A 13,245-nucleotide genomic window follows, 5' to 3' on the forward strand; every position below is an offset into this window, starting at 1 on the left:
GCGCCCTGACTGAGTTTTTGTCTCCCAAAGCCCACCCCAGCATCACTGAAGGGGACAACAGCCACCTCCGCTCAGGCCAACTCCACCCCCACTAGTGTGGCCTCTGTGGTCACCTCTGCCGAGTCTCCAGCAAGCCGACAGGCGGCCGCCAAGCTGGCGCTGCGCAAACAGCTGGAGAAGACGCTACTCGAGATCCCCCCACCCAAGCCCCCAGCCCCAGAGATGAACTTCCTGCCCAGCGCCGCCAACAACGAGTTCATCTACCTGGTCGGCCTGGAGGAGGTGGTGCAGAACCTACTGGAGACACAAGGTGAGTGGCCTGGACCCAGCCGGGCTGCTTCCGCCTCTGGCCTCCAAGGGTGCTGCCCCGTGGGTTCTTTCCAACACACAGCAGAGGCTGGGGCAGGGCTGCCTAGCCAGGATGGTCCTGGGTGGGCTTGGCAGGGACACCGTCAGTGCCACTGTGGAGTCTGGACACTGTCCTCCGGTTGGGGCCTCTGAGAGCCAGGCCCCGAGAGGCTCAGGGTCCAGGGGGACGGGCAGTAGTGGCCTCCGTGACGTTGGCGTGTGGTGGGGTAGACGTGAGGGTGCACATCTGTGGGAGGCTGACAGGGTTGGCCTCCACGAAGGGCTCTCAGGCCAATGTGGAGTTGTGACACACAGGCAGAACCTTCCAGAGCCTCAAGTGCTCCCAGCTTCTGAGGAGGGAGAGGGACAGCCCACCCCACTGCCCAGGGGCAGGCTCGCATGATCACCCTCTTCAGGCAGCGTGGGAGTGCACTGTGTCCTGGGGGATTTAGGAATAAAAAGACATCTACGGGGTGATCACAGCATTGGAGACGGCTGGGCGGGTGGATCTGAGTGGCCGAGTTGGCCCCCAGGGAGCCCCTGCTCCCCAGACATGGAGACCAAGGACGTTTCTGCCCACAGGTTGAGGTTGGGGTGACACGAGTAGGCCAGGAGGCTGAGTCCTCTCCTGGTGACTGCATCAGACTCTCAGAGCAGAGGAGTCGGCAGGACTGTGAGGGGCCCAGGGCAGGGGCAGGGCCTGGCAGCCTCAGAGCCTTCCCAGCACAGACTTGGGAGCAGCGGGGTGGGTGTGTGCAGAGAAGCACCTCCCGCGCACTGCCCAGGATACAGAGGGAGGAGGGCATGGGGGCCAGGTCGAGCTGTGCCCCCAGCACCTGGGGTTGGGAAGATGCTCTCCCCACTCTCTTAGGGTACTTTGGTGCATCAACTGGTGCCCCCATGTGGTTGCACCCAGGGTCCCCAAGAGGCAGAGCTCTCCACACTTGCGTGGGGCTGGGCCTGGCGCAGCCTCAGAGTGGCCCTCAAATGTAGAGTTGCTTGTAACCCACTCCCTTGCCCCTCAGTCGCTCTCGTAACTCCCGGCCACAGGATGGTACCGAGACTAACTGCAGCGTGCCCCAAGGGCATGGCCTCCAGCTCCCAGCTGCAGGAGGGACCTGGGGGAGCTATGGGGAGGTGAGGCTCTGACACAGCCCGGCTGGTGCCTTTGGTGCCTCCTTTTCGACAAGGTGATGTCGGCAAAAGAGCCACCTGGGGCTGCTGTAGGAAATGAGGATTGGGGGCCGAGTTGGGACCAGTGCCTCTCCTTGCCCCTGCCTGTGCGGGCATCCGCTCTCCCAGACCAGTCTGTCTCTGCCGTTCCCTCATCAGGGCTCAGTCTCCCTCTCCTGTTGCCAAGGATAGGACCTCACTGTGGGAGAGACTTTGAGCCCTGCTGGAGGCATCTCCTGACACCTCCCAGAGCCCCCAGCCTCGCACCATGTCTGGTTCTGGCGCCGCTCACGCTGGCCATGGGTTGGACGTGTGCAAGGAGATGTGCCGTTGTCACCAGAGCATGTAAGCTGCAGGTGGCGGTCTCATGGGTCAGGGGCTTAGAAGGGGCCAGGCCAGTCCAGGCAGGAGAGGGAAGGCCGAGAGTCTCGCCACATCCATCTCCCCACCCCCCAGCCCCTGCAGTCCTCTGACATTGTCTGTGATGACCAAGAGCAATTAAGGCCCCTAAGTGCTGAACACAAAAAAGGTCGGCACAAATACGCCCAGACCTCACGCCCGAGCACATGCTTCATGTACACTTCCCCAGCTACCTCTTGCAGCCCCCAAGGAGACTATGCATTCTGTCCCCCAGACAAGGGGACCAAGCCCTTGCTGCCCCTGTAGCCTGCTGCCCACCTTGTGCAGTGGGTGCAGCCCAAGGCCTGGGGCCTATCCCGGGTGTGAGTCCTGCCCTGCCACTGAGTGACAATGTGATCTACAGGTCACTTGGTCTCTCTTGGCCTCAGTTTCCTCATCAGGACATGGCGCATTTGGGGGTTCCCCGTCCTAAGAATGAACTGAGTACCTCAGCACCCACAAAGCACTTGCTGGGTGACTTGCCTGTCACCCTTATTAACTCGTACACAAGCAAGGGTGCCCACCACACTGAGGCAGGGCTTGGCATGGTCCCTGCTGGTCCTCAGTGGTGTCATGTCCAGCGATGGGTGGGACAGGAGGCCGACGTTTTCTGAAGCTGTTCGGCGTTGGCCGGCCCCATGTCCACATGTCATTGGTGCCCAGTAGGCATTTGCAGAACGGACAGACTGTGGCGACTGAGACTCCAGCATCCTGGGCTGGGGGCGGCCAGGGCCCTGACTGTCGTCCTGGCCCTCTGACGTGAGCCATGTGCTGTCTGCTTGCAGCAGGCAGGATGTCGGCCGCCACTGTGCTGTCCCGGGAGCCCTACATGTGTGCACAGTGCAAGACGGACTTCACGTGCCGCTGGCGGGAGGAGAAGAGCGGCGCCATCATGTGTGAGAACTGCATGACAACCAACCAGAAGAAGGCGCTCAAGGTGGAGCACACCAGCCGGCTGAAGGCCGCCTTTGTGAAGGCGCTGCAGCAGGAACAGGAGATTGAGCAGCGGCTCCTGCAGCAGGGCACGGCCCCTGCACAGGCCAAGGCCGAGCCCACCGCTGCCCCACACCCCGTGCTGAAGCAGGTGAGCCTGGCCTGCTGCCGGCAGTGCCGTCCCTAGGAGGCAGAGGCCGTTCCGCGATCCACCCCACGCCTGCGCTGCACCGCCTGATTGTTAACTGCACGTCTAAATTGCAGTTAATGGTGGTGTTGGGCGGCAAAAACACTAATTTGCAGTTTCTTTAGACTTTGTAGCTCTCACTTGCAGGCTGCCGGCTGACAAGTACTGCTTGTCTTCAAGGTCTTTTCTGAAAGCCACGTTGAGATACCAAAGGGGCGTTTGGAAAAATGTTCTTGCTAAATTTGGAGAGGAACAAGTTTGAAATCAAGTTTTTTGTTCTCGTGTTGTTTTATTTTAATGCTTCTCCTTCCCACCCTCTTGTAGACTCGAAGCTCCCTTTTGGCAATTTTTGTTTTCTTGGAAGTTCTTTGCAATTCACTAAACGCATTTTCTCAAGATCCCCACTTGGCGCCTAAAGTCCCCAGGGGACGGGCCTGTCCTGTGGGGCTCACCCTCGGTCACCCTGGGCCGGCCAGCGGACCGCACTGACTTTGCTTTCAACCCCCGTTTGTGTAGGTCATAAAACCCCGGCGTAAGTTGGCGTTCCGCTCAGGAGAGGCCCGCGACTGGAGTAACGGGGCTGTGCTACAGGTCAGAACCGCACTGGGCGCCGGGAGCCTCGCGCCCCCACCGCAGCCCGTGACCACGTCAGTCGCCGACTGTCACGCTGCCTCTTCTGTCTGTCTCTCCCTGTTTCTGTTTCACTCTCTCCCCTCCCCCACCCCTCTGTGTAACTTACCTGGTCTCCTGATTTTGGACTTTAGGGACCCCATGTGGGTGGGAAGAGGTCAGCCAGAGCAAGGAGAGGCTGCGCTGAGTGTCTCGCCTGCTGCTGTCTTTTCCCTGCATGAGCCGTCACCCCCCTTTCTCCACTGCAGGCCTCCAGCCAGCTGTCCCGGGGTTCGGCCACGACGCCCCGAGGTGTCCTGCACACGTTCAGTCCGTCACCCAAACTGCAGAACTCAGCCTCGGCCACAGCCCTGGTCAGCAGGACCGGCAGACATTCTGAGAGAACCGTGAGCGCCGGCAAGGGCAGCGCCACCTCCAACTGGAAGAAGACGCCCCTCAGCACAGGTGGGTGACCTCCACAGGGCTCCCCAGGGGACCTGCCCATTGTGGGGTTCACCCTTCCTTAACCGAAACAGAGGCACATGTGCAGCGGGTGAACCCCCAGGCCCGCTTCCCAAGCTCAGCCTCCTCGGACTCTGGCTTTCCCTCTTGCCCCTAACCAGGATACCCTGAAGAAGTGACAGCCCCGAGCAGATAGGAAATAGTAACCACCCTCACTCTCTGCACCCAGGCTCAGTCTTTGACCGACAAAACATGGGCCAGGCCTGGCTCAGAGGGTGCCCCCACAGCCATCCATGTGGACTCTTGTCAGCACACACCCCTATCTTGCCCACTCAGGGTCCCCCTTTTCTCTTTGTGCCGCAGCAAACATCTTTTTTCTGTCATTGTGCCATCCATGCTGCGGTCACACTGAGTGGTGCAAAGTAGAACAGTAATGCGGGGCAGGGGGTGTGCCCAGGGCAGCGGCTGGCTCACCCGGGGCAGGTAGTGGAGGCCTTGCCGGAGACGGTGTTTGAAGAACAACCAGTGGGGGTGAAGGTCCTCCAGTGGGCTCTCCGGAGTCAGGTGCGGCCCCACCGTCCCTGGCATGGTCCCGATGGCCTGTTTATTTTTTCATGTATGTGTTAACATTAGAACAAAAGTGTTATATTTCTTGTGTCAAAAATAGGGAAAGAAAAGGTGGTCAGGAAGGGCCAAGTTAAGGAGATGGGCACCCTCTGGGAGAGGAAGCAAAGTGTCCCACATGCACCCTGAAGCCTGTGGCCCTGCAGGTAGGAGAGGACAATCATGAGACAGGCCCCAGGCAGAGTGGTGGGGGGAGCCTGAGAGCCTGCTGAGCCTGCCGCTGTCCTAAGTGAGGGGCGTGCCCAGGTGCCAGGCTCTGCAGGGGCACTTCAGGAAACAGCAGACGTTCGGCTGCAGAGGAATCCAGGCAGCCTGGACAGTTGAGTGTGTTTGTCATCAAACCAGCCAGCCAGACGTTCTGCTCAGCAGGTTTAAGACAGCTGAGGACTCACGGGCTGGTCAGAAATTACTCTTGTGGGAAGTTTGAAAGGATAAGAAAGAAGTAGAAGTCGATAAGTGTGTGCATGTGGGCACGGTGGTGGAAGTCATCTGGAAGCTGTGTGTGTGTGTGTGTGTGTGTGTGTGTTTAAAGTTTGAAAGGGAGCATGAAGGCATCACTAGTTGTGTGTCTGATGGTAGGATTAGAGGGAAAATAAATAGTTGAAAGCACCATTTCCTAAAAGAGTTACCACGGGGGTTTTGAGAGAGCGCCTGGCAGGACCCAGTTGCCAGGTTTCTGGAGTGCTGCCCTTGCACACAGGGTTGGTTCCTAAGAACATTTGACCTGGGAACGCTTTTTCCACAAAATGTATTAGCCACCACTAAAAATACTCTTAGGGCCAGACATGCTGGCTCTCACCTGTAATCCCAGCACTTTGTGAGGCCGAGATGGGAGGATTGCTTGAGCCTAGGAGTTTGAGACCAGCCTGGGCAACATGGTGAGACCTTGTGTCTACAAAAAAATAATTAGCCAAGCACATGGCATGTGTCTGTGGTCCCAGCTACTCAGCCAGGAGGCTGAGGGAGGAGGATCGCTTGAGCATGGGAGGTTGAGGCTGCAGTGAGCACTGATTGTGCCACTGCACTCCAGCCTTGGCAAGAGTGAGACCCCATCTCAAGGGGTCTGGGGCAGCCCTTACCTCCAACTCTGGCCAAAAATTCTGCGTGTGCTGGGTGGGGGCATTTATTTATTTTCCAATTATAAAAATGATATTTGTCCATCATGGAAATTTGGAAAATACAGAGAGAAAAGACTGTGGCAATGGCTTGTATTTTCCTCCCCCAGGTGAACAAATATTACATTTAAGGGTTTTCCCCAGTGTCTCCCCTTCACTTGAGGGTCCTTTGTGGAAATGTGTGTCTTGCGTTGGCTACTTTGTGTGTTAATGAGAGACCCTTACTGGACGCATTAAAATTTGAGCTGGGCACAGTGGCTCGTGCCTATAATCCCAGTGCTTTGACAGGCCGAGGTAGGAGGATTGCTTGAGGCCTGGAGTTTGAGACCAGTAAACAACAACAACAACACTTGAGGGTAGGAGATAGTTTTTTTTTCCTTTTTTTTTTTTTTTTTCTTCTTTTGGAGAAGCTTCTTGCTATGTTGCCCAGGCTGGAATGCAGTAGCGCGATCATAGCTCTCTTGCAGCCTGGATCTCCTAGGCCCAAGCAATCCTCCCACCTCAGCCTCTGGAGTAACTGGGACTACAGGGATGTGCCACCATGTCCAGCTGATATTTTTTTTAGAGATGGGGCCTCACTATGTTGCCCAGGCTGGTCTCTATCTCCTGGCCTCAAGCAGTCTTCCCACCCCCCAGCCTCTCAAAGTGCTGGGATTCTAGGCTGAGCCTCCGTGCCCAGCTAAGATAGTTTTTCATTGCTGCATAGTATTCCATCCTGCATTATTGTCCTGTTGCACACATTTGTTTATGGTTTTCCACTGTTCTAAGCAGCACCGTGGTCAGCACCTTCATTTCTGTAGAACGTAGGTAGCTGCTCACCCTCTGATGATTGCCCCACACTTGGGATTACCTTGGCAGAGCCTGGCAATGTCAAGGCCATTGAGTTGCTGCCTAAATACTCTTCAGCTCTGGGGGGGCCTGGGATTTGAAACGTTGATTGAGGAGTAGTGTGGGTGGGTTTGCAAGGGCTCCTGGGTCCTTAGTCTGTATTGGGGCTGGGGTCTAGGCAGCTATGGCTGGGCTCCTCCCAGGAGCCCTCCTGACGAGGGCCTTCTCAGCTGGTCGCTCTGTTCTGTTGCAGGCGGGACCCTTGCGTTTGTCAGCCCAAGCCTGGCGGTGCACAAGAGCTCCTCGGCCGTGGACCGCCAGCGAGAGTACCTCCTGGACATGATCCCACCCCGCTCCATCCCCCAGTCAGCCACGTGGAAATAGTGCGAGCCAGGCCCCGTGGAAGACGGGCTCCCTCCTCCCCCACCTGGCCCCTGGTCTAGAAGGACCCACTGCACCACCCTCCGCTGGCTCGGGAAGACACCGTGCCCGCCCCAAGAGCAAGCACCGGCCATGCTGCAGAGGCAAGACCTCAATTCTTGGCTGCAAAGTTTCATCAGGGCTAGGGGGCTGGTGCCGCCTCATAGGCAGACGAGGATCATCGCTGGGGGACCTTTCCCGTGGGCTTTCTTCCTTTCTCTCTTTGCCTTTAGTTTGCCCGACACCAGCAGAAAAGTGGACCTTGGGGGCTGGTTCTGCTCCTGGCCCCCTTGTTCAGCCCCTGCCGGCACACGGGCGGCTCACCCTGGACACTGTGATGCGCATGGGCAAGGCCAGCGCCCGGGGCTTCTGAACCGAGCGGGGTGTTTCATTTTTTTGCTTTTCCCTGTCTTAGGCTCCCAGTCTTTGACTGCCTTCCCATGGCGATCTATAAGTTGAAAGATTTTTTTTTTTTTTAATCACCTCATGATGATGGAGTTAAAAGTAAACCGTGCAGACCCTGGGGTCCCTGTTGTACGCTGCATCATCCCGCTGGCCCTGTGCCCTGGAGGGTGGGCGGCTCATGGTGCCACAGCCCCTGGCAGGGACGGCCGGCCCGCCCCCGTGACTGACTGACAGATGCAGGGATGGCCGAGGCAGCCCTCGCTCCAGCTGAACGCCTCCATTGCTGCTTGTTCTGGAGACCCCCGCCCCCGCACCTTCCAGACTTAGCAGAAGAACAAACTGAAGAACAGACCCAGCCAGAGAAGCAGGGATTCCAGAAGCTGCCCATTAAGGGAGAAGGAGAGGATCCGGTCGGCAGCAGCCCTGAGCAGAAAGCTGGAGGGGGGACTGTCGCGGGGTTTTTCTGTTGTGGTTTATTTTATTAAATTTTTTCCTTTTTTCTATTCATTTCGATGGACGCAATCTTAAGCCACCCTGGCCTTGCTCCTGGGAGGTGAGCGTGCACAGGTGTGTGCAGGTCAGGAGGTGCCGTCCAGGTGTGCGGCGAGCCGCTGCGCACAGATGTCAGGATTTCCGTTTGGGTCTAGTTTAGAACCTGTCCTTAAACCTAGGGGTTGCTGTCAGGATTTGCTTTCAGACTTTTTTTTTTTTTGTAATTCCCTTTAGAGTCTACAAAAATGTTTTTAAAAGGATCAGGTCTGCTTTTAGTTTCATTTTTGTTTCTTTCCCGTCCCACTCTTTAAAAACTGGTTCCGTGAGGAAAGGCAGAAGCCGTTCCGTGTCTCTTGCAGGCTGGGCCGGCTTCATGCCAGTGCGAGGGCGTCCCGTGCCCACGTACATACGTATGTCTCCATGAGTTCTGGGCTCCACTGGTTCCAATTGAGCTCCAGCCCTGGTTTTCCTACCCATGCAGTTAGGGACTTTAATTTAATTTTTTTTTTGTAGGGCCACCGCCTTCAAACACAACTGCTACAACATTCTAATAAAGGCTCATTTAACCCCCAGGCTCCTGTCGTGTGAATATCCTCAGTCTGTAGGAAACTTTTTTTGACACAGCATAGAAGACCTAGTTTTGGAAAACATTATCTAATTTTTTGTTGTGCAAATCCCCAAATTTCTCACTAATTTTTGTTTTTTTGTGCATAACTTGGATGGGCTGAAGGAGGTGAGGACAGATTGGGGAAGGGTGGCTTTCATTCCAAGATCCAGGGATTTGGGGAAAAGGAAGGAATTTGATGTTTTTTGGGGTGGGAGGGGAGGGTGTGTTTTTTACACCAAAAAAAAAAAAAAAAATCAAGAGTATGCAAGCATTTCTATTCCTCGCATTTTTCTGTGTGCCTGGCAAATAAATACCTGTCTCCTACGACCCTGAGCTGTTAGCCCTCTCTGTTCCATGACAGGGGCCAGATCTTCCAGCTCCTCCCAGAAGGAGCACCCAGGCTGGCTTCTTCCCACTGAAAGCCCTCCCCAGCGAACCAACCTCAGTTCTATGCAGTGGCTGGGGATCAGGCATCCAGACCGAAGTCACCTCTGCCTGCTCCAGCTTGGGTCAGCTGGGTCTGACCAGGGGGCCAGATCCGAGCCGCACCTGCCGGCCCCCAGCCCCAGCTCCAGCTCCTGACCTCTCCCAGCCTGGCCTGGCTGTTCCTCCAGGGCTGATGGCTGTCAACCCATCCTTGTGAGTTCATATGGACTGCTGCCCCTCGAAAGGGAGAGGGTCGGCCCCATGTCCCCAGGGAGCATTCCATCAGGGACAACGTACATACTGTGATGTAAACTTTTTTTTTTTCCCCCCAGGGGGCAAAAGTGTGAGATGCCTTAATCTTTCCTTCATTTCTGCTGTCTCGAACACTCTAGCCCATTATTTCCTTTCAGTTCCTTGCAGCATAACCTCTACGATAAGCCCCAAGCGGGTTGTTGTATTATGACGTTTATGATGTTCCAGGTGAAGGCATTATTAAGTACCTCTCTGGGTGTGGGGTTTGGACGCACCAGGATAGCTATTGATTAATGTTAAGGGTGTTCTACCCACAGCAAAGCACACCCTCTTAAACCAGGCACTGCCTGGGTCCTGGTCCCGAGAGCCCTACCAGGATCAGGTTCCTGCAAGCCGTCAGAATGTGGGAGCCCCCAGCCCAACTGATTGTAACTGTCCCCTGTTACCTGTGACATGAACCTCCAACAGCACCTGGAAACGGTTCCCTCTGTCAGCTGCTCTGTAGACAGGGCTGGGGAGATCTCAGAGTTCACACCTCGCCTGTTGTAGGGGAGGTTGGGGGTAGGGTTTGGAATGGCCAAGTGCCCTTGGAACCTCCCACAGCTATGGCCGTCCTGACCTCATCCCAGGAACTCTACGGTGACCAGGAACCACCCCTCTGACGAGGTCTGTAGCGGCCCTTCTCAGAGTGGAACAGCCCACAGTGCTAGTTGTGCCTGGTCTTACCTGTACTCCACGGACCTCGGTGAAGCAAAAGCTTCAGGGCAGAGGGAATGAGGCAACCCAGTGGCAGCCCCGCTGGGCCCCGTGGCTCCTGCTCTCCTATTGGACGTAGAGGCAGGGGAGAGACTTCTCTATACAAATATTCTCATCACAGAAGGGATGATCCTTGCTGCTCTGCCGTAGGGTTTTTGATGCTGAGCTATGCTGCACATGACGTTAACCTAAAGAACTTGGACTGAGCTTTTAAAAAAGGACAGCAAACAATTTTATAATCCTTAAAGTGTAATAGACGGTTACACTAGTGCAGGGTATTGGGGAGGCTCTTTGGGTGTGGAGGCTGTCACTTGTATTTATTGTGACTCTAAATCTTTGATAGTAAAACAAATGTAAAAAGAAATGTTTGCCACCAGATGGGAATAGAAGTTCCAATAAGCAGGCTGGAATGGGTGGCTATACGTTGTATCACGAGGAAGTTTTAGACTCTGAAGGATAATAAATGGATGATGTGTCAACTGGACTTTTCTTTTGTCCCTTCTGCCCTGGCTTCTCTGTATTGTTTCGTCCTAGCTTCCCAGGCAGGTTGGAGGGAGATGGAGGATGACCCTTAGTTAATGAGAGAAGCAAAGGGCGGGGTGCATCTGCTGCTGGGGCCTCACTTACTGTGGGGATGGAGTCCCCACGGCCCCTCTCCTCTGGAGCTTTGTGGCAAACTTACCCCATGGGCTGGGAGAGAGGAATGAGAATCTCAGTGGGGGCTGGGTTTGGTGGCTCACATTTGTAATCCCAGCACTTTGAGAGGCTGAGGTGGGTGGATCACCTGAGGTCAGGAGTTCGATACCAGCCTGGCCAACATGGTGAAACCCCATCTCTACTAAAAATACAAAAATTGGCCGGATGTGGTGGTGGGTGCCTGTACCCCAGCTACTTGGGAGGCTGAGGCAGGAGAATCGCATGAACCCGGGAGGCAGAGGTTGCAGTGAGCCAAGATTGCGCCACTGCACTATAGCCTGGGTAAGAGACCGTGACTTTCTCAAAAAAAAAAAAAAATTCTCAGTGGAATTTGCTTGTGTTTGCTGCATCAGCCTTCACGCTAGAGTGGTGGGTTTTCCTGGAGCAATTTTCAGGCTGGGGGCCTCGATGGTGTCTTTGCTGCAGGATGTGATATTACAGATGTGCAATCTAAGCACAGAGTCACCAACCTGGATCCAAAATGAACGACGTCCTGGCAAAAATGTTTTCAAGTGTTGATAGTTTCAAGTTTTATTCTTAAGGTGAGACCTGGGATCATTTTGCTGAATTTTAATGTGCATAAAACATGACCCTGTTTTCCTAGGTGCTATTTATTTGAGGCAGGGTCTCACTCTGTTGCCCAGGCTGGAATGCAGTGGCTTGATCTCAGCTCACTGCAGCCTCAACCTCCCTAGGCTCAGGTGATCCTCACATCTCAGACTCCTCAGTAGCTGGGACTATGGGCATGCACCACCATGCCCAGCTAATTTTCGTATTTTTTGCAAAGACACATTTTTGCCATGTTGCCCATGGCTGGTCTTGAACTCCTGGACTCAAGCAGTCCTCTCACCTTGGCCTCCCAAAGTGCTGGGATTACAGGTGTGAGTCACCACGCTTGGCCGTTTCTTGTCTTTGAAGCATCCTTGCCTCCGGCCTGGGAGCTCATACCTTCCCCACAACTCCCAAGTGCCTGGTCTTATGGGCACAGAGCTGGTAGAGAACATGGTAGAAACTGAACCTCAGCCTGTCCAGTAGCGCGATCTTGGCTCATTGCAACCTCCGCCTCCCAGGTTCTAGCGATTCTTCTGCCTCAGCCTCCCGAGTAGCTGGGATTACAGGTGCCGCCACCAGCACGCCCAGTTAATTTTCAGTAGAGATGGGGTTTCACGTGTTGGCCAGGCTGGTCTCAAACTCCTGATGTGATCCACCGGTCTCAGCCTCCCAAAGTACTGGGATGACAGGCGTGAGCCACTGCACCCAGCCACTTTTTTTTTTTTTTTTTTTTGAGATAGGCTCTCTGTTGCCCAAGCTAGAGTGCCTAGAGGCTCTCTGTTGCCCAGGCTCAGGCGATCCTCCCACCTCAGCCTACCGTGTAGCTGGGGCCAGAGGCTTGCTACAGGCATTTCTTGCTTGGCCTGAGAAACATTCCTATGGGGTGCTGTCTCCTGGGCTTGGCTCTTGGTTCCTCGTGAGGCTCTGCTTCCCTGGATTGGGCACAGGCTTGTCAGTGCAGTTGGGGCAGATTCAAGGGGCGGGTCCTGGGTCATGGTCTCAAATAGCCTCTCCAGCTGAGAAAATGGGACACTCCCCTCGTCCCTGACATCTTGTCCCCGACATCTCATCCTCTCTGAATTGAGCCTTGGGTCTGTGGCCACATGGCAGGCAGAGACCCTGACCCCATCTGCTCCCACAGATTCGTCGGTGGACAGATGGCATGCACTATGCCCTGGGCCCCGGAGATGTGGCAGGAGCTATCCAGACAGAAACATATAGCACCTTGAGAGGAGGGCATGGGGTGACATTTTAGGCAAGGCTTGAAGAGGGGAAAAGTGCCAGGAGTGTGCAAAGGCTTGGAGATAGGAGCCAGCATGGCAGGTCAAGAACAAAAAGGGCAATGTGGTGGGACTGGGTGGGAAGACGGGGCAAGGGCGTGGGTTTTAGCTAAGTGCAGTGGGAGTCTAGGGAAGGTCCTGGGCCCAGTACTCAAGCTACGCCCACTCTGAAGCCATGCCCACTACCCCAAGGATGGGGTTTTGCCCATTTTCCAAGTGGGGAGTCTGAGGCATGGCCCCAGTCAGGAGCAGCACCCTTCGAATAAACCAGAGGGGCTAGGGGCTAGGTTTTATTTTATTTATTTATTTTTTCTTTTGAGGCAGAGTCTTGCTCTGCTGCCCAGGCTGGAGTGCATTGGTGGGATCTTGGCTCACTGCATCCTCCATTTTCCGGGTTCAAGTGATTCTCCTGACTCAGGCTCCCCAGTAGCTAGGACTACAGGTGCAAGCCACCCATGCCCGACTAAATTTTGTATTTTTAGTAGAGATGGGGTTTTACCATGTTAGCCAGGCTGGTCTCAAACGCCTGACCTCAAGTGATCCGCCTCCCAAAGTGCTGGGATTACAGGTGTGAGCCACCATGCCCGGCCCCAGGAGCTGGGTTTTCTACCTCCACTCTGATGTGGTCCAGCCAAGACTGGAGGCTAGGCACTGCCCCTCTTTTAGCCTCGGTTTCCTCAT

The 13,245-nt window shown here is 55.1% G+C and overlaps 1 protein-coding gene across 47 annotated transcripts in view, besides 1 other annotated feature; it reads left to right on the plus strand.

The window, feature by feature from the left end:
* Positions 1 to 10,520, plus strand: part of GATAD2A (GATA zinc finger domain containing 2A) — a 123,090-nt gene extending 112,570 nt beyond the window's left edge. For 33 of the 47 annotated variants that reach the window (NR_169268.1, NM_001384514.1, NM_001384512.1 and 30 more), the window contains 5 exons: positions 31 to 310; positions 2,706 to 3,004; positions 3,557 to 3,631; positions 3,919 to 4,114; positions 6,932 to 10,520. Coding sequence is in view for 46 of the 47 variants with exons in the window: in NM_001384514.1 (NP_001371443.1) it covers positions 31 to 310; positions 2,706 to 3,004; positions 3,557 to 3,631; positions 3,919 to 4,114; positions 6,932 to 7,062 (981 nt within the window). In the remaining variant the exon portion in view is untranslated. Of the gene's footprint in view, positions 1 to 30; positions 311 to 1,713; positions 1,867 to 2,705; positions 3,005 to 3,556; positions 3,632 to 3,918; positions 4,115 to 6,931 lie in introns of all 47 variants that reach the window. The other 14 variants (NM_001384531.1, XM_047439000.1, NM_001384529.1 and 11 more) reach the window with 4 other exon arrangements.
* Positions 6,581 to 7,081: an enhancer, noted in NCBI's record as "H3K4me1 hESC enhancer chr19:19615802-19616302 (GRCh37/hg19 assembly coordinates)". NCBI's record gives its function as "activates a minimal SCP1, AML or CMV promoter by ChIP-STARR-seq in primed H9 embryonic stem cells {active_cell/tissue: H9 hESC(primed)}" and the evidence as "EXISTENCE:reporter gene assay evidence [ECO:0000049][PMID:30033119]".

This window comes from Homo sapiens, chromosome 19, assembly GCF_000001405.40.
Source record: "Homo sapiens chromosome 19, GRCh38.p14 Primary Assembly".
Taxonomy (NCBI): domain Eukaryota; kingdom Metazoa; phylum Chordata; class Mammalia; order Primates; family Hominidae; genus Homo; species Homo sapiens.